Genomic DNA, 26084 nt, shown 5'->3' with positions numbered 1-26084 from the left:
GCAGAAATAAAGCTGCACATATATGGTCAATTGACATCAAATAAAGGTGCTTAGGTAATTCAGTGAGGACAGTATTTTCAACAAACTGTGCTGAAGCAAATGACTAAAAACTACATTCTCAACCCCTAACTCACATCATACACATATGAATTTGAGATGGATGACAGACTTAAATGTAAAAACTAAATCTGTAATATTTCTAGGAAAAAAGTAAAGGATACTTTATGGCCTCCAGGTAGGCGTTGATTTCTTAGGCTACAGAAGGCACTTACATTTTAAAAATGGATAATTTGGAATTTATGAAAATTCAAAACTTCTGGTCATCAAATTCACCAGTAATAAAACAAAAATGAAAGCCACGGTTCAGGAAAAAGTATTCGTAATACACACATCTGAAAAATGACCTGTGCCCTAAATATGTAAACAACTCCTGTAGCTCAACTGAAAATATTAATCAAAATATGGGCAAAAGATTTGAACAGACACTTTACAAAAGAAGGTATGTGAATGGTCAATCCGCAGACCAACATGTGTTCAATGTCATTAGTCATCAGGAAAGTACAAAAATAAAACTCCAATCAGATGCCATTTTATACCCACTAGAAGTGCTGACATTAAAAATTCCGGTAATATTAAACATTGCCAAGGATATGGAGCAATCAAATATCTCATATATTGCTTGTGGAAATATAAAATGGTACAAACACTTTGGAAAAACATTTTGCAGCTTCTTATAATGTTAAACATATATCTACCATATGACCCAGCAATTCCACTTCTAGCTATTTACCTAAGGGAAATGAGAATATATGCCCACAAAAATATTTGTGTGAATATTCACGGAAACCCCATTCATAATAGCCCCAAACTAGAAATAACCTAAATATCCATTAACAGTTAAAGGATTAACAAATCTGTGATATATTCATGTAATGGATTACTACTTAACAACAACTTACTGATACATTCAAAGTATCAATGAATCTCACAAACATTCTGAGTAAAAGAAACCAGAGACAAAAGAGTACATATGCATGATTTCATACATACGAAGTTCTAATACAGGCAAAATTATTATTCAATAGTGATGGCACTCAGGAGTTGCTTCTCAGAGGGAGAGTGAGAGTCAACTAGAGAGGTACACAACAGAGCTTCCTGGAGTCCTGGAAATTTCCCTCTCTGGTTGGTTGTTTGTTTTGAGACAGAGTCTCACTCTGTCCACCCAGGCTGGAATGCAGTGGCCTGATCTTGGCTCACTGCAGCCTCTGCCTCCTGGGTTCAAGTGATCCTCCTGCTTCAGCCTCCCAAGTGGCTGGGATAACAAGTGTGCACCACCACACCCTGCTAATTTTTGTATTTTTAGTAGAGATGGGGTTTCACCATATTGGCTAGGCTGGTTTTGAACTCTTGGCCTCAAGTGATCTGCCCTCTTCAGCCTCCCAAAGTGCTGGGATTACAGGTATGAGCCACTGCACCTGGCCAAATTGCCCTATCTTGATGATACATGGGTTACTCAGGTGGATTCATTTGTCAGTACTCATTGAATTGTATGCTAAAGAACTGCGCATTTTTCCATATAGAAATTCATGCCTCAATAAAAAAAATTAAAGTCACTAAAGACCTTTCAATTCTTTTTGAATTATTAATTCAAGAAGTTTATAGAAACAGAACTCAAGTTAAAAAATTCCATCCCTAACCATTTTTTAAAGCAAAATTCACTGTAAGATGTCACCCAGAAATAAAAACATCATACTTTTCTGCTGAAAGACCAATCAATGGCACTCCTCACTGTGCGGAAATACCTTGACCAGCCCATGAACCGCTCAATGCCAATTGGAAGGACCCCTTCTCTTAAGCAGTCTGCTTTCTAGGACACATGTCAGCAGCACTTCTTCCCACAGCACCTGATATGGTTTGGCTCTATGTCCCCACCCAATCTCATCTTGAATTGTAATCCAAATTATAATTCCCAGGTGTCGAGGGAGGGACCTGATGGGAGGTGACTGGGATCATGGGAGCAGTTTCCCCTGCTGTCCTCATGACAGTCAGTGAATTCTCATGAGATGTGGATGTTTGATAAGTATGCCCCTTCATGCTTGCTCTCTCTCTCTCCCTCTCTCTCACCTGCCGCCATGTAAGACAGGCCTGCTTCCCCTTCTGCCATGATTGTAAGTTTCCTGAGGCCTCCCCAGCCATGTGGAACTGTGAGTCAATTAAACCTCTTTCCTTTATAAATTACCCAGCCTCAGGTATTCTTTATAGCAGTGTGAAAACAGACTAATACAGCACCCTGTTGAAGGAAGTCTTAATCTTCCATAGACCAAAGCGCTTCACATATTATCTACCTTTTCCAAACTCAAGCCTTCACTCCATCGTTTCATAGAACTGGAAGTTAAAATAGCAAAATGAAGCCTCAGCCTGCTTGACAAAGGACAATGAATAATGGTTCATGCACAGGCTCTCTGAAAGCAGCTTCAAAACTGCCATTTAATTGAATAATCTGCGCTGCCCAGAATGCAGATGAAATAGGGATGAAAGCCTAAGCATGATTTTGCTCAATGGCGCTCATCATTTACCAGGGACGATTGTGTGTTCTGCTTCTCCTCCCCAAACCCATTTGTCTCTTCTGTATTGATTTTGAAAAGGCTGATTCAGTACAAACAAGAAGAATCATTTCTCAGTCTTTGGAATGCATTGCTCTAATTATGAGGCTCAGTGGTTTTGTCCATATGATCAATGCAGGAAAAGACATGTTTAGTCCAAGTCACCTCAGTATTTCTGAATCCTTGTTCCCCATGTCATCCGAGTAAATTTAATTCTTTTGTGGGTGTGTCTGATGACCTACTAAGTGTGATGGGAGCACAACAGAACTAATCTAGGGGACAAAATGTGGCATATAAAATACCAGAGACAAAGTACTGGGTGTGTTGTTCACCAGATACTGGCCCAGGCCCAGGCTCAGGAAGTGGTTCAATGAGTAAGTATTTAAAAGTTATTCAATAGGGCAGGGGCCAGCAAACTTTTTCTGTCAAGGGTCAGACAGTAAATATTTTGGGCTTCAGAGTCTTTGTTGCAGCTCTTCACCTGTACTGTTGTGGCATGACAGCTGCCATAGATAATACAAACGGGCCTGGCTGTGCTCCAGCCATTTACCAGAAAATTACAAAGTTGCAAAAAAGATTTGGCCTTCAGGCTGTAGTTGGTCAACCCAGGCAGCAGGATGCTGTCGGATATTCAAGGGACAGAAATTATTAAAAACTTCTCTGACTGGAAGAGATTTTCAGCAAAGATGCACGAGGCTGGGCCTTGAAAATTGGAGGATTAGGACGTGCCAAGATAAGGAGGGAGACAGGAGAAGTAAAGGCATAGGAGCTGGTAACTAGGGAAGGGAATAGGACATATCTCAGATTGGCTGAATGAGAGGGTAGTAATGGGGAGTTCAGAGACAAAAACAGGTGGGGGCCAGGGCAGAGAAGGTCCTGAATACTGGAATAAGCACTGGACATTATTTTCTGGACCAAGGATTCCAAACATTTTTGATCAAGCATTCCTTTCACTAAAAAGTTCTTGAGGCCATGCGCGGTTGCTCACGCCTGAAATCCTAACATTTTGGGAGGTCAAGACGGGTGGACTGCCTGAGCTCAAGAGTTCGAGACCAGCCTGGACAACACAGTGAAACCCTGTCTCTATTAAAATACAAAAATTAGCCGGGTGTGGTAGTGTGCGCCTGTAGTCCCAGCTATGCGGGAGGCTGAGGCAGGAGAATTGCTTGAACCCAGGAGGCGGAGGTTGCAGCGAGCCGAGATTGTGCCACTGTACTCCAGCCTGGGTGACAGAGCCTGACTCCGTCTCCAAAAAAAAAAAAAAAAAAAAAAAAAAAAAAAAAAGTTTTGAGCAATACCTCCCACATACATATTTATTTATTTATAACTCATATGTACTACCTGCCATTGTCTTAACATTTGTACATTATAAAACAAACTACAAAAATGACATTAAATGTAAATGGAAATTAAAGTAGCATATTCTCTCTGGGCATTCCATTCTCTCTGGGCTCACTCCGTGCAGCCCCAGATGCAGCATGTCCAGAGAACGAGCTGTAGAACAGAAAGTCATTCTACAGCATACTCACAGGGAAACAGGTTTTTTCTTTTTCAATGAACAAAGTTTGGGAAATACAGGGAGAGCTGAGTTTAAGGAAAGGCAAAGAGGTTTATTCATTGAAGGACTTATCAGAGCCTTTAACCCTTTCTAAGTTAAAGTGTTTGAATACTGGGGTTTGGGGTCACATGGAGCACGTCCTCGTGCGGTGACAACTGGTAATCAGTTGTTGGTTGACCAAATGAAAGTGTCAAAATCCATTTGATCCACAGGCCTCTCACAAGACCTGCACTCCACAAAATTGCCTTCACAATCAACTCTTCAGGCCGGGTGAGGCCAGGGAAAGCTGCTCAGAGGGTGAGGAAGATCACGCTATAAGTAATGGCTCCTATGGCCTGGGATAAGGGAAAGCTGTAGGAGGCCATGGTCCTATCGTTGCACAGCTTCTGTCACAGATTTGGACAGAGGAGCTGGTCCAGAGTAGTATGGTAAAGATGACTCCAGAAGTGTCCAGAATTGCTGGTCTGTGCCATCACCATAAGAAGAAAAGAACAAGGGTCCTGGCTTTGTTATACCTTGACAGTTCTGCAGCTTCCCTAAGGACCACCTGGGCATCCCTCTTGCCTTCAGAGTTCCTCTCCTTTAATGCCACTGTCACAGAAAGTGGCAATTTTCAATTCTGATAGAGGTGCCACCAGGGAAAGGAATCCATTGCTCCAGCCCAGCCCTCTGCCCCTGTAGAATCCAGCAGCTCTGGCCTAATCACCAGTTTATCTAGGCTCCTGTAACCATGTAGAGCAAAGCTTCAGATTCTATAGGAAGAACTCCTAGACAGCAAAAAGGCTATGTTTGCGTGCCCTCCCTGGTGGGCTGGCAGTGACTGCCTGTGCGTGTTGAGAAAGTTTCCAGGTCTATATCTCAACCAGAGGAAAGGGTGCTACCTTCTCACTGGTGGCCCAGCCTCTCCTCCACCACCTACGTCCTTCAAAACTCATTACTCCCCAGTTTAGAGGTTGGCAAACTTTTTCTGCAAAGAACTATCCAGATAGTAAATATTTTAGGTTTTGCAGGCCAGACAGTCTCTGTGGCAACATTCAATTTTGCTGTTTTAGTAAAAACAGCCAAATGCAATACATTTTAAAAATGGGTGTGGCTGTGTTCCAATACAACTTTATTTATAAAAACAGGCAGCTGGCAGGACATGGCCCGCAAGCCCTCATTTCCTGAACTCTGCTCTGGTTCCCTCTTTTCAGGTGAGAGCACATAATCTCAGAAATCAAGGTGTCCTAAGACAGTGCTTCTCAACTCTGGCCAAACCTCAGAACAATGAACTCTGAATCCCTGGACAGAGGTCCAAGCAGCAGGATTCTTTCAGTCTCTCCAGGTGAGTCCAATGTGCAGCCCAGGCTGAGACACCATGTTTTCAAGGGTGGCTTCTGCTTCCCTGTCCTGCAGGGTAAGTTGTGTAACAAAAATACAAGGTGCCACCGCAAAGGGCTTGTTTCCTAGGCTCCACACATTGTGGCGTGGAAATTAAATTCCTCCTGTAGCTTCTCGCATTGTTTCCTGTGTGCATGCTGTAGAGCCAACTGGCTGCAAACTCCCTAAGAGGCGCACCTGAGCTTCTCTCACATCAATGCACCACTGACCCTAAGAACAAGTCCTACTCCAAAAATCCAGCCTGGCGGAAAGATCTAGAACACATGGTCAGCAGCAAAGCCAGTGCCCACTCAGTAAGTGACTATTAGTCAAGGTTCTCCAAAGAAACAGAACCAACAGGAGAGAGAGAGAGAATATAGAATATGGATAGGATAATGAGATACGTATATATTCCTTATATGTGCCTCAGTCTCCTCATCTGTAACGTGGAGTAACTGTGAACTCCTTCACAGTTGTATGCCCAGCTCCTATCACGGCATCCAGCACAGGGAAGAGAAGTAAGAACTCAGTACCAGGAATCCATGGTGATGGGCTCCATCACACCTGCAGGGCTCAAGGGTCTCCCACTCTCCCTGAAGCCTTTCCCCTTCCCAGCAACCCCGCTTCCTCTGAACTCTTCTCCCCATGGGGGAAACTGGCGGGTTCTTTGAACCTTTCCCTCATGGTATTCACTCCACTGGTGAGCCCTCAAAGGACAGGTAGCCACCTATGCATCCCTGGATTCCTGGAGCATCTGTCCTTCCCAGCATCTGTGGAGGTGCCTTTCTCACCTCCACAGTCCTGGCACCAGGCACAGTGCCCAGAGGTCCTCAGTCAAAGGTGTGAAGATGACTGAACAGACATGGCTGTCCTTGTCTGTACCACTTAGGGAAACATTTTTGTGTTTTACCTCCAGCTAGGAAGAGCCTTCCCACTCTCTCCCTGGCAATTTAGATCAAGCCAGAGGAAGAATTAGATGGACCTCCTGATTCTGTTGACACCTTCCTCTGCCTGGATTCAACCCTGCATTCCATTCATGAAGCGGGAACCGGCCTGGTATGGCCCGGAGAGCCAGGGCGTGGGAGCCTGCTGCTGCGCAGGGATGGAACGGTGCTTACTGCTGAGTCTCGGACTGTTTCTCTTCCTGTGAAGTGGGATTGGTGCCGCCCACCTCCTCAGGTCTTTCTGTGATCGAATGGGATACAATGTACACAAGTCACCACACAGTGCCTGCAGCAGGTTCCTAATGTGTTTTCATTTTCTCCTTTTTTCCTTATTGTTTTCTTCTTCCCAGCTCTGGGATGATGGCCAGCTTTTTACAACTTAGATTAAAAAATAAAAATTAGTAGGAATACTAGTTCTACATGAGCCAAACAAACACCCAGCTCCCGGTGCATGTGTGTCCTATGGGGAAGTAACATCATTGCTACTCAGCCATGCCCCTCTCCAAAGGTTTAGTGCCGTCTGGTTACTACTCAATCATCTCATTTTCTCCTCATATGTGAAAAATGATTTTTTTAATGATCTGTTCCAGAATATTTCTAAGTATTAACTCATTTATAATCCCCCAAGTGTCACAGTTCCTTTAAAAAAAATAGGTAATGAATAGCCCTCTTCCAGCCATCTGGAATCTCCAGCCTGAGAAAATTCAAATACAAGTATTAATGGCCTACTTAACAAGCCACTTATGAAGGCTTTCCACTGCAGCTTTCTGCAGGCCTCGCTGGCCACTGGGCATTTCACTCTAAAAGCCATGGAGTGAAGTGTTTAACTCCAGCACACTGAGTTCCAACCCCAGCTCTGCTCCTTATCTACAGCCTCTCAGCTCCGCATCTATAAAATGAGTTTATAACCACCCAGATTATAGTCAAGTTTCCTAGAGAAATAAATGGAGAAAGTCAAAAGCACTCAGTTCAGTGCCTGGCACACAATATTAGATTGAACTGTATAAAACTACCCTTTTGTGGGCTAAAAAGTGCCGAACACCAGCAAGTTCATGTGGTTCTACCTACCAGGGTTCCAACAAATGGCAGCAGTCACTATTGCAGTGGAGCTGACTGACAGGCAGAGGACAGAGGGAAACGCTGAAAGCCAGGGTGAAGACACAGTCGTCTCCCACATCTGATCCCTCAGCACCCACTTTGGGCCCCTCAATATCATCTCCTTATGGCATAGCGAGCTTCCAGAAATACCAACCTGAGTGGGCCATCTCCCAGCATGCAATCCTTCAGGGACTTTTTCCTGCTCTTAGGACACAAGACAAGATCCTTAGCACGGCTGATGAGGCCCTGCTCACTCTGGCCTCTGCCCTCCTGGCCAGCCACACCAGCACCACCTCCCCACTGCTCCCTCCATTCAGCCTCCCTGGTCTCTGCTGGTAGCTCCATTGCTCCATGATTCTCTATGCATGTGGTCTCTGTCCATGCTGGTCCCCTTGCCCAGGATACCTGCTCCACCTTCTGCTCACACAATCCTGGTTCCTCCTTGGATTCAGCTCAGTTATCATGTGCCTAGGACAGCTGCCTCTGAACTCCTTGACTGGGGATCTTGGAGCCTCACGAGCCTGTCCCATATAGTACTTATCCCAGGGGTCATCGCACACTTATCTGAGTGATTACTCAGTTGATAGGGCCTCTGCTCTACAGTGTGAGATACATGTTTGGAGGAAGCATAGCTGTTTCTTCCTGTGCCACTGTAATCTCGGTATCTAATACAATACAGAGTACAGAACAGGTACTCAGTAGAGACTGTTGAAGGAATGCGAAGAAAGAGAGAAGGGAGTGTCCCACCTCAGCAATGTCCTACCGTGGCCTGAGGACACGGCAGGAGCTCAGAGGGGCTAAGGGCAGCCAATAGTGGGCCAAGCTATGACCTAGAGAGTCAGGATGGACTGTTAGGGGAACTGTGTAGAGTCCAAGGGCCTGGGCTATTGTGAGGCTAGTCGGGCCACTGTTCAGTCTAATGCCATGATGGAGGGTTTCATAAGGTAGCTAGGAACTCCCCTGAGGGCTCCATCATGACCCAAAAAGCCCTCATAAGAAGATATCAGACTAATGGACACCCCAGCCTGGCAGGGCCTTTCATCAGTTCTTTCATTCATCAGTTGGTTTCGGAAGTCCTCCTATGTGCTCCTTCTACCCTTGCTTCCCTCTGCCCCGTAGCAGCCAGAATGATCCTTTTAAAATGAAATAAAACTACCTTGCTTAAGCAACCCATCCCATTGGTATGGAATAACCCAAGGTCATGCTTGATCTAGCTCTTTCCTCCCTCTCTAACTCAACCAGATGCACAGGCCGTCTTTGGATCTTCAAATAGACAAAGCTCATTACCATTTCAGAATGTTTGCATTTACTGTTCATCCTGCCTCGAAGCCTATTCCCCTAAGACCTTTGTATGGGTGGCTTCAGGTCTTAGCACAAATGCTGGCTCCACAGGAAGACCTTTCCTGAAAACACCCTCCTGTACCTTTCCAGTCACTGCCAAGCCCAGCCCCATCCAACAGCACTTTGTATGATGATGGGCATGTTCTGTACCTGTACTGTCTGATACAACAGCCACTAGCCACATGTGGTCATTGAGCATGTGAAGGTCACCAGTGTGACTGAAGAACTGATTTTTTACTCTTATTTCATTTTAATTAATTTTACTTTAACTTTAAATAGCCACCCATGGCTTGTGGCTACCATACTGAACAACAGGCCCATGCCCCTATTTTTTTTCTTTATTGCATTCAATATCTAAAGCGTTTAAAATTGTTCCTAAGCTTTCTGTCTATCTCCTCCATTAGAAACTTGAGCTCCCTAAGAAGAGAAATATTTTTAATCTTGTTCATGGTTGGAACTCCAGGGCCTGGTTGTTGGGAGACCCTCGAATATGATTTGAATAAGTAGGCTTGTGTCAAAAACTGTGTTGACACACTTATCCTCATAATATGGATCCAAGAGCAGAAGTCTCCACTCCAGGACTTGTCCCCAAGCGACAGTAAGATGTGCCATGCTTGTTGCTACTAATGACAGAAGTACTACATTTGCAAAGGACTGTCTGGTTTTTTTCCCCCTTTGATACAGGGTCTTGCTCTGTCACCCAAGCAGGAGTGCAGTGGCACAATCTCAGTCCACCACAGCCTCAACCTCCTGGGCTCAAGCGATGCTCCCAACTCAGCCTCCAAAGTAGCTGGGACTACAGGTGCATGCCACCATTCCCAGCTAATTTTATTCATTTTTTGTAAAGATGGGGTCTCACTATGTTGCCCAGGCTGGTCTCAAACTCCTGGGCTCAAGGGATCCTCCCACCTTGGCCTCTCAAAGTGCAGGACTGCCTTTTTGAATCATAGTGGGTATAAGGTTATGTGAATAATAAGTTCATCCCCAATCATCTGCATCAAGACTTATTTTCTAGAGTAGGAGGAAAAGGAGGTGACTAATACCTAAGGAGAAAATCAGCATATGGAAGTGCGTCACTCATCTAAGCAGCATTTCTCTCTCTACCATGTTGTCAGGTAGAGAAACAGGCAAATGCTGTGAATAAGGTTGCTTTGGCCTGCTCAGCATCTCTCCTCCCTTGTTTCAGAACTAGAAACCCCATTCTCCACTACAAGAGGGGCTATCAATCAAGAGGGCCCTGTCAGCCACACTCCACTCAAGAGCACATGACCCAGGCTGGCCCATTACAGTCCTTTTCCAGGGAATGCTGGGTATGCTGGGAGACTGAGGTCCCTGCACCCTGGGTCAAGGGTCACAAGATGTGGTGCTGCTGCTTTGGGCTGCCAGTGGTCATCTTGCCCCACACAGAGATCATTCTTCTGAGAACAAAGCCTAACAGAAACAGAGTCATGAGCTGGCAAGGAAGAGTAAAGTTTGATCAAATGATTCTGGTGAAATCCTTGACAAATCATACTGAAAGGCAGTCACATCTTGGAACGCCTAGATTAGTGAGTCAATACATTCCCTTTTTGTTTTTTATTCTAATTTGACTTGGGTTGCTGGAGTCCTGAGAAAGTGTTCAGCAACACTGCAGTGAACACTTGCAGTTAGGTTGGCTTCCCTGAATCTCAGTTTTTCTCCCAGGAGAAAAAGCATCAACAACATCTACTCATTTTAGTTAAGACATTTCTTTGGAAGTGATGGAATTTATCTTAAGATATGGAAGTGCTTGATGGAATTCAAAGGACTAAATGCAACCAGCTGTCAGGAAGGGCCTGGAACCAGAATCAAAAAAGCCTTCCAACTCCTGGGCAAAGTTCTCTCACCTCTCCTTTCTACTTCTCTCCAGGTGTTTGCACTAGTCTCCTCTTTACAGTCTGGCTTTCTTAGCCCATTCATTTATAGAACAAAAGAGAACTACTCACTCACAGCTTCTCCCTGTCTATGTCTTTCTGTTCAGAGACTAGCCCGGAATAGGCTGAAATTTTTCGTGCAATTCCCAAATCTTAGGAAAGGAATGCAGGGGGCAGGGACAGGACAGGAAGCAAAGGAGTCAAGTTGTGCATAGTTATTGGGCCCACCCTCATGAATGAAGGGGCTGTTGGGGGGTCACTGTTAGTCTGTCAGAGACTTTAAAAGCTGCATATTGGCCGGGCACTCAGACCTATAATCCCAGAACTTTGGGAGGCCAAGGCAGGTGGATCAATTGAGGTCAGGAGTTCAAGACCAGCCTGGCCAACCTGGTGAAACCCCATCTCTACTAAAAATATAAAAATTGGCTAAGCGTGCTGTTGCACGTCTGTAGTCCCAGCTACTCAGGAGGCTGAGGCAGAAGAATTGCTTGAACCCAGGAGATGGAGGTTGCAATGAGCCAAGATCACACAACTGCACTCCAGCCTGGATGACAGGGCAACTCTGTCTCAAAAAAAAAAAAAAAGTGTCTATTATACTATGCTATGGAGGGTTTTCATAAGGACTTTCTGAGCTAACATATCATATATAAAATCATCAGTGTAAATGACACTGATTGCTAGACGGCTCACACTCAAGAACCATAAGTTGAATCTGAACATGTGGCTTGCAGGTACAAACCAGAAAGCCAGCTTACAAGACCAACCATCCTATAGTTCCTTTAGTGTCCAATAACTAGACTTCCTTGGTTCAAGTTAAAAAATTCTCCTATGAATTTGAATCCAAAACTGAGTGGCAAAATGTGAAAGAACAGGGCTCAACCAGGGTACTTGGGTTCTAGAGCATAATACTTCAAGCATGATGATAACCCCTGATTCTACGGCAAATCCATATTTTTGGTGTTGCCTATTAGTAGTAGTAAACTGTATTTAAAATTATCTACCTAGGTGAGCTGGGCACGGTGGCTCATGCCTGTAATCCCAGCACTTTGGGAGGCCGAGGCGGGCAAATCACGAGGTCAGGAGATCGAGACCAGCCTGGCCAACACGATGAAACCCCGTCTCTACTAAAATTACAAAAATTAGCTAGGCGTAGTGGCAGGTGCCTGCAATCCCAGCTACTCGGGAGGCTGAGGCAGGAGAATTGCTTGAACCTGGAAGGCAGAGATTGCAGTGAGCTGATATTGTACCACTGCACTCCAGCCCAGGCAACAGAGTAAGACTCCATCCCCCAAAAAAAAAAAAAAAATTATCTACCTAGGTGGTTCTTCTTCAAAGGAACTCTCATACTCTCATAATTCACAACAGACTAAAAAGGGTTTCTGCACAAAGTCCAATTTAAGTAAGAAATAAATCACTTCCTAGTTTCCACATCATAATAACTTCACCATTTCCAGTTACAAGAGTTAAGAAGCAATTAAAAGATAGACACAGAATATGTGGCCTCATTATCATGATTATTATTGCCATTTAGAATGTTCTCACACTTAATATCGCAGTGGTCCAGTTGCCCCGGTGATTTACTCTCACGTTTCTCACAGGATGTTAATTAGGGGAAGAGACTACCAAGGCCACAGCATGCATATCACAAAAGGTCATGATGTCCATCCCCGGTTACCACGGTAACAAATTTTCCTAATGTCTTTTCCATCACTACCTAGCATCTTCAACACAGAGCTGCCTCTCTGATTAAAAGGAAAAAAAAGGTGATAACTCAACAAGTAAACTTACCACTGGTGTGCCTAATGTGCGGTGCTGGATTTCCAACAGGCTGTACCTGATACAGTCCGCGGGGAGGGGGTCATGGAGAATAGGAAGGAGAATGGAACAGAAAGAAAAGTTTTTCTAGACATATTTAGAATTTTCCAAAATCTGAAAAAAAATGTTATGTAGTTCCTGTGTCCTTTTTAAAAAATGGCCATGTTATTTAAAGTTACATTAAGGGTGATATGCTGGGAGTACCGTAGTGTTTCATTGCTTAGGGTTTCTTGAGGTCTTACTCAAACCCTCCTACCCATCTCACCCCATAAGGAAACTGCAGCACAACATGATTACATAACCATCTGAAGGTCCTACAGCTAGGAGGTGACAGAATCTATGCTTGAAACCTGATGTGAACAATTTCAGTGCTTACTCCAGGTGAGTTGCTCCGGGCAACTTTCCAGAACTTCAATTTAACAATATCTTATAGAAAAGCAGTCATTTATTTACAATATACCTATATCATACATTGTCTTGTATTTAGTAGGTGTTCTGAATATGTTTGAATGAGTTGACCTATTATCTGAATTACAATAAGTTACAGAAATGAGAAGTCATAAGTCAAGGAAACAAAAATTAGAAATTACAACACAATGACATTCCTTATGGGTTTTGCAACAACTACTAAGAAACAAGGTGAAAGATGGTGAGACTGTGATATTTTTCTCTCTCAGACTTCCCTATTTATTTTTGTGGTTGTTGTTTTAACTTCATATGACAATAAATAAATAGGATAAAAAATTAAACATCAAAATAAAAAATAATACAAGAAGGTAAATCCATTTAGTGCCTTGACACTTCATTTGAGATAATGCTCTGGAGAAAACGGATAAACTCTTCTGTGCTGACAATACAGATCGGGGAACTGCTCTGTGGCAAGAGAAAACAACTTCAATTTTGTCTTGTCAATGGAGGTTAACCTTCTATGTAACCTTAACAAGGTCTGTTCCCACCATGCACCCCGTAAAGGCTAAGAAACACTTCCACCTAATCAACTGCAAGATGCTGTTTGCTTTAGAAGCCTTTAGGGTCAAAAACAAAATTTTTTTAGGCTCTGTGCATCAAGACCTCAAAAAAAAATCATTGTGTGGCATTTAGACTTACGCAACAAGCTCTTACAGCAAATGCATACAAAAAGTGCAAATTTATGCAAAAAGCCCTCAAGGTTAATATTCCTCCAGCAATTTTCTATCCTTTTTCAATTAATTTAAAATAGCAATCGCATGCTCTCAATGCCAAGCCATTTAAAAGGATTCATCACTCATTCATTCATTCATTCATTCTCTCAATTAGCATTTGCTAGGCCCCTGCGACATGTTAAGGTGGTGGGAACAGTAATGCTCACAGAGTGTTCCATGCACTCTGCTACATTTCCCAGCATCCCTTGTAATTGGTGTTGGGCATGTGACTGGTTTGGCCAATGGGTTGTGAGCAGAAGTGATGTGTGTCACTTCCTATCTAAAGTACAGGAGAGGGGGCTATGAGTCTCCCACATTCTCTCTTCCCCTTGTAGTAATTCCAGAAGCTACATTTTCCAAATGACATGGCTACAGGATGAAAGGTGCCTAGGTCCCTGAGTCACTCGTTGGAAAGGAACTGCCTGGAGAGCTCCGAGACCCAGTGGCATTTACATGAGCAAGAAATAAACTTCAATGTGTGAATCCCCTGAGGTTTCTGGTTTGTTTGTTATCAGAGCTATCATGGACTAATGCAGGTGGGCACTGGGTGAGGCATGTGAAAAGAAGACAAATAATATAAATCCCTGCCCTAATTTATTCAAATCACAGAAAACAGAAAATAAACATAAATTATGGGCATTAGTCTTTTATAAAAATGTTTCCTTAAATTGGTTTAAACCACCTCAATTCACATTCAGATCTCCCTGCTTGCTAGTAATGAAGGCATTCTACTTGGTTGAAAGCCTTCCATTAGTTTAAAAGCTCCAATTGTTGAACTATCAACGTCTGTAAGAGTGTAATAAGGGATAGAATAACTAAGTGTTACGGAAGCAGAAGCTATAGCCATATTAACATTCATGAGTTTACGCACCACAGTTCCATTCCTAATCATTTACAGATAAAAATACAACAACAAAAATTTCAACTTACAGAAAAGCCAAATGCTTCTCACTGCCCCTCCTCTGCTCCCAAGTAACAACTGCGTCTGCAGTATCAGTTTCGGTTATGACATCTCAATTCTGCTTCAATTATTATGGAAAGAAACACTGTTAGAGAGTTACCAAATATAGCAAATGTAATTTGTTGGGAATTTGAGTTGTTATAGACATATTTCTTGATGCATATTTCTTCCAAGTGTTACCTTTAAGAGGGAAAATACATTTGTGTGCCAATGAAACCCAAAGGAACGTAAATATCTGGCTGTTCAAAAGGAAGAAGTCATTGTAGAAATCCCCATATGTATATTTTCACATCACTTAATGAAATTTCTGTATAAACTAATAGAGCCAATATGGTAACGTGGTGTGAGCACATTTGCACCCATAAAGATTCATTTATATAAACTAACACAGACATTGCTTAACCTCTCAAAGCATATCTTCCCCCTCCTCAGAAAGCTCCACATTAATTCAAATTTATTCACTTCATAAAGCCTAAGCAAATGGAATTCAGACAAACTCATCTAGTGATAGAGTTGCCTGTAGTCAGGGGTGGAATAAAATGAGAATGTCTATTAGCTTTTCAACCGCTCTGGAGAATGAAGGCCGTGTACACTTTTTGGAAAAAGATGTAAAGCCTGGGCTTGCAAGAACAAATAGCTGTGGAAGAACCGAGCACAGTTACCAATCATTTCACACGCTCCAACTGTTTTGAAGTCTTTGATCTTTGCCAGAGAAGCCACGGAAGCCAGGTCACTGAGAAGCCACCCCAAATTCCAGGGCCATTGTGGAATATTAGCCACAGGTTTTCCAGAGGCTGGAAATGGAGATCACACAACTTAACCATCTGCTTAAGGTTTCCAAGAAATCCTGAAGGCATCCCAGGAACACACTGGAAACACAACTCCACTTTGGCTGTGCAAATGAAACATCAGAGGGGAGTGAAGGTTTGAGGAAAGCTGATGAATGTCCCAAAGCTTTGGAAGACAAAATACATGTGTGGCTTCTCAACAAATGTCCTTACTGTTTCATTATCTAGAGGCAGCCTAGCCAGAGGCCACTCTTTCATGTTTGACCTCTACATTCCCCTTCCTAGAAGCACTAGCAGAAGGGCAGTCAGTCCATCTCCATGGATTTCAGGGCCCTCAGGAAGCAGGCATCTCCAAACCTTGCTGGTTCTCCCCAACAGAGACAAAGACATACAGAATCAGAGAGTGTCCCAGGACCCAGGGACTCCTGTGGTCATTATAGAGAGGAATAACCTCAGGCCTATGAGTGAGAAGGCTTGGACATTCTTCTATGGATTGTTTTCTTTTTCTGGATGAATCTTCAACTTTCTAGACCTCTGTTTCCCCATCTGTCACAAAGGAATTTCCACCAGATGACCCTAAGAGTTCCCTCCCAGCTTTCATACATTTCAGATTCTGGAGTCTTCCCAGGCTTTCCAGGCATTTAACACCATCCAGCAGAGTGGTAAATGGAAATACAAGCCCATGTTTTCCACCAAAAGAACCCCCAAATGGAGATAAAATAGAAATATCTCTAGAAGGAGGAAGGCAGCCCAAGTTGGCCAGCCACTATCATTATATTACAGAAAGGCCCATTTTTCAATTAAAAATTTCATACATATTTTATATTCTTTAACTTGTTTGTGACCCCTGCTTTTATGATTTTTCTTATCATAAAACCCTCATTTCAGTAACTGAAACATGTATTTACTACTACAGGGGAACTAAAAATCACGTTGGTGATGACCCAAGACAGTAAAATATGGGGAGAAAACACAACGAAGTGATCTAAGAAGTAAAGAACTTGCGACTGTGGGGTGTAGGGTGAGGGGCTGCAGATCCACATGGCTCTGTACCAAGCAACCATCTCAACAATGGTATGTTCCCTGCAGACCCCCAGGAAAAGGCATGATGAAAAATCAAAGAAATACATCCTGAGGGTCAGTGATTTCAGTGCAATTATTTGAGGAGGAACACCTGTAGCACACCTTTAGCATTCAGGAGGAAGTTTTCTTTCCTTCTTTTTTTTTGTAGAGACAGGGTCTCACTATGTTGCCCAGGCTGGTCTCAAACTCCTGGGCTCAATTGAGCCTCCTGCCTCAGACTCCCAAAGTGCTGGGACAGGAGAGTTTTAAGTCCTATTACAGATTCGACTTGTGTGAGCATGTGCAGGCACATGGAGTTTGGGGATGAGCAATTTCCTACAATTCTCATATTTTGGCTAAAGATTGAGAGGAGAAGAAATTCTCCTGGATTTTTACAGAATCAACTCCAAAAGGGTAAAACAGGCTACTAAGTAGAGCTGGATTTCCCAGATTCAAAAGATGGTATGATTTTGCTTAAATGAATACCTGTAAAAATTTGACTAATAGCTGCCCACTGAGCATGCTTTACTATAAAATATTTAAATACATCATTTAATCATTTGCTTTCAAGTGTTTGGCCACATATTTGATAAGTGCTTAAATAACTTCTTTCCATGAAACTGTATAGTAAAATTGTGTCTGTCATGACATTTCTATGGCTGCAGGACACACAGACTAATGTGTAGCCTTCTCTCCTATCGGTTTCTGATGTCTCCAAGAAGGGAGGGAGAAAAAGGTGGGAGCCACTGCCAAGCTCAGGACTTCATCATTTTCAGTAGCAATTTAAAATAAGGAAAATATGGAAGAGTTAAGGCTGGCAACACAAGCAGGAAGCAGGTTCCAGAAAGGCCTATAATTACGGTTTCCAAAACTTCCATATTTCTTCTGCTATGATCAATTTTCGCTGTGAAGTAGTCTTCCATCATTCTCAGGGGATATGTCCCAAGACTCCCAGTCAATGTCTGAAATCATGAACAGTACTGAACCCTATTGTATTAGTTCATTCTCACGCTGCTAATAAAGACATACCTGAGACTGGGTAATTTATAAAGGAAAGAGGTTTAATTGACTCACAGTTCAGCTTGGCTGGAGAGGCCTCAGGAAACTTACAATCACAGTGGAAGGGGAAGCAAACATGTCCTTCTTCACATGGCTGCAGGAAGGAGAAGTGCCGAGCAAAGGGGGAAAAGCTTCTTATAAAACCATCAGATCTCATGAAAACTCACTATCAAGAGAACAGCATGGAGGTAACCGCTCCATGATTCAGTTGCCTCCCACTGGGTCCCTCCCACAACACATGTGTTATGGTAACACATGTAGTTACAGTAACTACAATTCAAGGTGAGATCTGGGTGGGGATATAGCCAAATCATATCACCTATATATGAGATGGGTTTTTTATATATATACATATCAATGATAAAGTTTAATTTATAAATTAGGCAATGTAAGAGATTAACAATAAGTAATAAGTAATTATTAGAAAAGCATTATTAAGTAAAATAAGGGTTATCTGAACATAAGCACTGCCATACCACAACAGCAGATCTGATAATTGAGCCGCCTGACTAATGGGTGAGTAGTGTAGACAGCGTGGATACACCTGACAAAGGGAAGATGCACATTGAAGATGCGAGATTCATCACACTGCTCAGAATGACAAGCAATATATATATATATATATACACACACATATTTATATATATATTTTTTTGAGACAGAGTCTCGCTCTGTTGCCCAGGCTGGAGTGCAGTGGTGCAATCTTGGCTCACTGCAAGCTCCGCCTCCCAGGTTCACACCATTCTCCTGCCTCAGCCTCCCTAATAGCTGGGACTACAGGCGCCTGCCACCACACCTGGCTAATTTTTTGTATTTTTAGTAGAGACAGGGTTTCACCGTGTTAGCGAGGATGGTCTCAATCTCCTGACCTCATGATCTTCCCGCCTTGGCCTCTCAAACTGCTGGAATTACAGGTGTGAGCCACTGCGCCTGGCTGCAGTTTTAAACTTATGAATTATTTCTGGAATTTGCCATGTAATATTTTCAGACCATGGTTCACCTCAGATAACTGAAACTGCAGATACAAAGAGGGCTACTGTATTATATCACTTGCTCTAGTCATTAATTAAATTTTTTATTATGCTGTTATTTTTAAATTTAAATATACTCCTTCTAAAAGATAACTTTGTAGCATTCCCAGAAAATGGAAAACTTGTATCATGAGCCATAAAGTAAAAAGAAATCATAAAAATAGAATAAAAATAAGTAGTGGCATTCTAGCTAACTATAGTTGCCTGCTCTGTCTTGGTTAAAAATGGAGATAAGCAAAAATGAGGAAAATGTTGAAGACATATTAATAGTGAATTAAGACTTTCCTCCTGAGGTTGTCAGAGGGGTTAATTGAAAGAAAGCAACTGTTAGTTCAATATCCCAAGTGAATATCCTGCCCTAACTCCTCTCTACCACCCATAAATGATCAAGTACAAGAGGGTACACCACGGGAAAAACTGCTCCAGCCATGGACTGAGGATCCACCAAGGAGTTTTAACCTCAGAGAGGGTCAAATGTGAAGTCCAAAAATTTCTCTAGGAGAAATCTGATCTCCGTGTGAAGATGTGGTTGGAAGACAGACACCTGGAGCCAGAGGACAAGCCAGGAGAGGGAGGCAGAGATTCAGGGAGGAGATCATGATGACTTAAATCAAGATAGCAGACTTGGAGGTGGAGAGAAATGGACAGGTGAGGAGAGAATGGGGATTTGACAATGGAGAAAACTCTGGGAATGATTAATGTGGGGGCCCAGGGAGATGGCAAGTCAAAGATGCTCCCCAAATTTCTGGTTTGTGTCAATGAGTGGGTGCTGGGGCTGTTCTTGGGGAAACACAAGAAGAGAAGCAGGCTGGGGTGGAGGAAGTGATGACTGTTAAGTTTTAAATACACTGTAACGGGAGGCAGTCTGCTCCGGAGGATAAATATCCATGTCCTAGATTCGCAATGCATGGCTTCCAATCACTGCTTGGCGACTTACTAAGTTTTCCCGCAACGACCTTGGCCAAGCTGCTAATTCATTATGGGCCTCATTTACCCCATCTGAAAAAAAAAAAGGATAGTTCTTTCCTCTTAGGTTATAGGTACTCTATGCCAGATACCCATCTCATCACTTTACATATGAGCTAATACCCCATGAGAATTATCTGTTGGTATCATTCCCACAAGCCCAAGTTATCTTGATAGTATTTACTGGTCAACAAATATCTCCACAGTGACTAGTATGAGTCATGCCTTAGGCTGGTCTCTGCTGACCTTCCCTACAAAGCCCAAGCCTCCTCTCTCCACCCACTGATGAGGGTATCCAGCCATGAAACTACCATGGTATCTACTGTTTCTTTACAACCAGATATGGAACAGGTGTCCATGGTCTATCACACTAACCACTTGGATCTTTAACATAAAATAAAGTTATTGATGTCTTAGAAATTTGTGAAACTGCCTTCAAATCCATACAAAATTATTTGTAAACCATATATTCAATAAGGGGTTAATACCCAAGATAGATAAGAAACTCATATCAACTCAATAGCAAGAAAACAAACAACCTAGTTTAAAAATGGGCAAATGACCTGAACAGACGTTTGAACAAAGAACACATACAAATGGTCATCAGGTATATGGAAAGGTGATCAACATCACTAATCACCAGGGAAATGCAAATCAAAACCACAAAGAAGTAACATCTCATACCCGTTAGAATGGCTATTATCAAAAAGTCAAAAGGTAACAAGTGTTGGCATGGAGGGGGAGAAAAGGGACCCTTGTATACTGTTGGTGGGAATGTAAGTTAGTACAGCCACTATGGAAAACAGTGTGGTGGTTCCTCAAAAAAACAGAACTAGAACTACCATATGATCCAGCAATCTCATTTCTGGGTGTATATCAAAAGGGAGTAAATCACTATCTCAAAGAGACAGCTGCACACCCACAATCATTGCAGCATTATTCACAGTGGCCAAGATATGAAAACAACCTAAATGTGCATTGGCAGGTGAATGGATAAAAAAAATGTGATATATGTGATATATATATATACACACACACACGCAGGAATATTATATATTAATATAATTAATATAATATTCATATATATGAATATTATTCAGCCTTTAAAAAGAAGGAAATGCTACCATTTGAGATAACACGGACGAACCAGGAGGACATTATGCTAAGTTTCACAAGCCAGGCACAGAAAGACAAATACTGCATGATCTCACTTATATGTGAAATCTAAAAAAAAAAAAAAAAATCAAACTTACAGTAACACAGAATGATGGTTGCCAGGGGCTGAGAGTGGAGAAAAGGGGGAGATGTTGGTCAAAGGATACACACTTACAGTTATATGATGAGTGAGTTCTGCAGACCTAATTTACAGCATGGCAATAATAGTTAATACTAATGCACTGAATACCTGAAATTTGTTGAGAGTAGATCTTCAGTGTTTTCCTCTCTCTCTGTCACACACACACACACACACACACACACAAATGGTAACCATGTGAGAAGATGGATATGTTATTTGTAATGTATATGTATATCAAAACATCACTTTGTATACCTTAAATATATACAATGTTTATTTGTTTATTTGTCAATTATGTCTCAATAAAGCTGGGAGAGGGACGCATAACTTGGCAAGCAGTTTGACTCTTAGGGCAAGGCTGATTGTAGACAGCATTATAGGCAGAGACTAATAGTTGATCTTGGGGGAAGGGAACTTCAGCAGCTCTCCCATCATCCCAAGAAGAACCCAAAGAAACTGATGAGACCTCCCAAGTATGTTGACTAACTTTCTTAAAAGAAGATTTCTTCATTTGTTCTAAATAAATGGAATTCAGTACCAAAAGCTCAAAATAAAACAAAGCAAAACAGTCCCTTATTCTTATTTTTCCTCTTGCTGCAATTGAGACTTTCCATGCCATTTGCTTTTGCCCAGGGAGATAATTCAATTATTTTATTCTCCAACAAGCAGATCACTGGCAAAGCTAGGGGATTTTCTGCCCCAGATTAAATCAGGACTATTTGTTGCACACAGAGAACATTCTTTCCTTTGCAACTCACAAAAGGGACAGCTATGGTGGTAGAGAATTCACCAGCAAAGCTTGGTGGTGAGACCAAAGCACACCCTCAGCCTTTAGTCTCAGGTCTCAGGCTCCACCAGGATAATTTCTGTCGCCTAAGTTGCTTCATTCATCCCTGACTTGACGCAATGTGCAAGGTAATCTCTTACTTAGATTTCAGTTCTCCCAAGAGTCTGTGCTCAGTCAGGGTGAAAAGTTTGATGCTAACACCTTCAGTGTAGAATAAATTTACAAATAAAAAGACTAGTGGCTATAAAATGATTTCCTAGGCCTCACTAATATCACCACTGGATTACAGAGGCATTCTGGAAGCTATTTCGGCCCAGTATCTCAAAGCTTCAACCAAATGATATTAAAACTCAGCATTGTGGAGGGAAGTATGCAGCAGAGTGTATATCCGAGAACTCAACTTCACTTGAAAAATGAAAAAGTTCAATTCAAACTTGCCTTATTTTTCTAAGTGCATGGAATCCTGGGACCTAGACCAGCCTCCTTCTTCTGTTTGTTCCTGATGGTCTCATTTTCCCTCTTCCCCTTCTTTCTCTTATTTCTCTCTCTCTTAATCTTTCCTTCTTCCTTTTTTAATGAAGCTCCTTCTTCAATTATAGCCAAAATTTGCTAAGTACTTGCATGCCAGGTGGTCTACTATATGCTTTTTAAAGTTATTATTATACTTTAAGTTCTGGGATACATGTGCAGAACATGAAGGTTTGTTACACAGGTACACACGTGCCATAGTGGTTTGCTGCACCCATCAACCCATCATCTACATTAGGTATTTCTCCTAATGAAATCCCTCCCCTAGGCCCCCACCCCCTGACAGGCCCCGGTATGTGATGTTCCCCTCCCTGTGTCCATGTGTTCTCATTGTTCAGCTCCCACTGATGAGTGAGAACATGCAGTGTTTGGTTTTCAGTTCCCGTGTTAGTTTGCTGAGAATGATGGTTTCCAGCTTCAACCATGTCCCCGCAAAGGACATGAACTCATCCTTTTTAATGGCTGCATAGTATTCCATGGTGTATATGTGCTACATTTTCTTTATCCTGTCCATCACTGATGGGCATTTGGGTTGGTTCCAAGTCTTTGCTATTGTGAATAGTGCTGCAATAAACATATGCGTGCATATGTCTGTATAGTAGAATGATTCATAATCCTTTGGGTATATACCCAGTAATGGGATGGCTGGGTCAAATGGTATTTCTGGTTCTAGATCCCTGAGGAATAACCACACTGTCTTCCACAATGGTTGAACTAATTTACACTCCTACCAATAGTGTAAAAGCATTCCTATTTCTCCATATCCTCTCCAGCATCTGTTGTTTCCCGACTTTTTAATAATCGCCATTCTAAATGGCACCATCGTCATGGGGTGAGATGGTATCTCATTGTGGTTCTGATTTGCATTTCTCTAATGATCAGTGATGATGAGCTTTTTTTCATATGTTTGTTGGCCGCATAAATGTCTTCTTTTGAGAAGTGTCTGTTGATTTCCTTCATCCACTTTTTAATGGGGTTGTTTGTTTCTTCCTTGTAAATTTGTTTATGTTCCTTGTAGATTCTGGATATTAGTCCTTTGTCAGATGGATACATTACAAAACTTTTCTCCCATTCTGTAGGTTGCCTGTTCACTCTGATGGTAGTTTCTTTTGCTGTGCAGAAGCTGTTTAGTTTAATTAGATCTCATTTCTCAATTTTGGCTTTTGTTGCCATTGCTTCTGGTGTTTTAGTCATGACGTCTTTGCCCATGCCTATGTCCTGAATGGTATTGCCTAGGTTTTCTTCTAGGGTTTTTATGGTTTTAGGTTTTCTGTTTAAGTCTTTAATCCATCCTGAGTTAATTTTTTTATAAGGTGTAAGGAAGGGATCCAGTTTCAGTTTTCTGCATATGGCTGGCAAGTTTTCCCAACACCATTTATTAAATAGGGAATCCTTTCCCCATTGCTTATTTTTGTCAGGTTTGTCAAAGATCAGATGGTTCTAGATGTGCGGCATTATTTCGGAGGCCTCTGTTCTGTTTCATTGGTCTATATATCTGTTTTGGTACCAGTACCATGCTGTTTTGGTTACTGTAGTCTTGTAGTATAGTTTGAAGTAAGGTAGCATGATGCCTCCAGCTTTATTCTTTTTGCTTAGGATTGACTTGGCTATACGGGCTCTTTTTTGGTTCCACACAAAATTTAAAGTAGTTTTTTCTAATTCTAGGAAAAAAGTCAACGGTAGCTTGATGGGGACAGCGCTGAATCTATAAATTACTTTGGGCATTATGGCCGTTTTCACGATACTGATTCTTCCTATCCATGAGCAAGGAATGTTTTTCTATTTGTGTCCTCTTTTATTTCCTTGAGCAGTGGTTTGTAGTTCTCCTTGAAGAGGTCTTTCATATCCCTTATAAGTCGTATACCTAGGTGTTTTATTCTCTTTGTAGCAATTGTGAATGGGAGTTCACTCATGATTTGGCTCTCTGTTTATCTATTATTGGTGTACAGAAATGTTTATGATTTTTGCACATTGATTTTGTATCCTGAGACTTTGCTGAAGTTGCTTATCAGCTTAAGGAGATTTTGGGCTGAGATGATGGGGTTTTCTAAATATACAATCATGTCATCTGCAAACAGACACAATTTGACTTCTTCTCTTCCTATTTGAATACCCTTTATTTCTTTCTCTTGCCTGACTGCCCTAGCCAGAACTTCCAATACTATGTTGAATAGGAGTGGTGAGAGAGGGTTGTGTTGGTTTTCAAAGGGAATGCTTCCAGTTTTTGCCCATTCAGTATGATATTGGCTGTGGTTTGTCATAAATAGCTCTTATTACTTTGAGATACATTCCATCAACACCTAGTTTATTGAAAGTTTTTAGCATGAAGGGGTGTTGAATTTTATCGAAGGCCTTTTCTGCATCTATGAGATAATCATGTGGTTTTTGTCATTGGTTCTGTTTATGTGATGGATTACATTTATTGATTTGTGTATGTTGAACCAGCCTTGCATCCCAGGGATGAAGCCAACTTGATCGTGTTGGACAAGCTTTTTGATGTACTGCTGGATTTGGTTTGCCAGTATTTTATTGAGGATTTTTGCATCGATGTTCATCAGGGATACTGGCCTGAAATTTTCTTTTTTTCTTGTGTCTCTGCCAGGTTTTGGTATCAGGATGATGCTGGCCTCACAAAATATGTTAGGGAGGAGTCCCTTTTTTTCTATCATTTGGAGTTATTTCAGAAGGAATGGTACCAACTCCTCTTTGTACCTCTGGTAGAATTCAGCTGTGAATTCATCTGGTCCAGGACTTTTTTTCGTTGGTAGTCTATTACTGCCTCAATTTCAGAACTTGTTACTACTCTGTTTAGGGATTCGACTTCTTCCTGGTTTAGTCTTGTGAGGGTGTATGTGTCCAGGAGTTTATGCATTTCTTCTAGATTTTCTAGTTTATTTGTGTAGAGGTGTTTATAATATTCTCTGATGGTAGTTTATATTTCTGTGGGATCAGCGGTGATATCCCCTTTATTATTTTTTATTATGTCTACTCGATTCTTCTCTCTTTTCTTATTTATTAGTCTGGCTAGTGGTCTAGCTATTTTGTTAATCTTTTAAAAAAACAGCTCCTGGATTCACTGATTATTTTGAAGAGTTTTCGTATCTCTATCTCCTTCAGTTCTGCTCTGATCTTAGTTATTTCTTGTCTTCTGCTAGCTTTTGAATTTGTTTGCTCTTGTTTCTCTAGTTCTTTTTATTGTGATGTTAGGGTGTTGATTTTAGGTCTTTCCTGCTTTCTCCTGTGGGCATTTAGTGCTATAAATTTCCCTCTACACACTGCTTTAAATGTGTCCCAGAGATTCTGGTACGATGTGTCTTTGTTCTTATTGGTTTCAAAGAACTTATATATTTCTGCCTTGATTTCGTTATTTACCCAGTAGTCATTCAGGAGCAGGTTATTCAGTTTCCATGTAGTTGTGTGGTTTTGAGTGAGTTTCTTAATCCTGAATTCTAATTTGATTGCACTGTGGTCTGAGAAACTGATTTCTGTTCTTTTGCATTTGCTGAGGAGTGTTTTACTTCCAATTACATAGTCAATTTTAGAATAAGTGTGATGTGGTGCTGAGAAGGATGTACATTCTGTTTATTTGGGGTGGAGAGTTCTGTAGATGTCTATTAGGTCTGCTTGTTCCAGAACTGAGTTCAAGTCCTGAATATCCTTGTTAATTTTCTGTCTCATTGATCTAATATTGACAGTGGTATGTTAAAGTCTCTCATTATTATTGTGTGGGAGTCTAAGTCTCTTTGTAGGTCTCTAAGAACTCGCTTTATGAATCTAAATGCTCCTGTATTGGGTGCATATATATTTAGGATAC

The 26084-nt window shown here is 41.8% G+C and overlaps 1 protein-coding gene across 1 annotated transcript in view, besides 1 other annotated feature; it reads right to left on the bottom strand.

The window, feature by feature from the left end:
• Positions 1–26084, bottom strand: part of CACNA2D3 (calcium voltage-gated channel auxiliary subunit alpha2delta 3) — a 952006-nt gene that overhangs the window by 577610 nt on the left and 348312 nt on the right. The gene's annotated exons all lie outside the window — the stretch shown is intronic.
• Positions 10090–10283: a silencer, noted in NCBI's record as "fragment chr3:54520692-54520885 (GRCh37/hg19 assembly coordinates)". NCBI's record gives its function as "represses an EF-1alpha promoter that drives an FKBP-Casp9 reporter gene in an ReSE screen in phorbol 12-myristate 13-acetate-treated (for megakaryocytic differentiation) K562 erythroleukemia cells {active_cell/tissue: K562(+PMA)}" and the evidence as "EXISTENCE:reporter gene assay evidence [ECO:0000049][PMID:32094911]".

Source organism: Homo sapiens, chromosome 3 (assembly GCF_000001405.40).
Source record: "Homo sapiens chromosome 3, GRCh38.p14 Primary Assembly".
NCBI lineage: Eukaryota > Metazoa > Chordata > Mammalia > Primates > Hominidae > Homo > Homo sapiens.
Note: the sequence above shows the minus strand (reverse complement) of the source record. Positions and strands in the feature narration are given on the sequence as shown.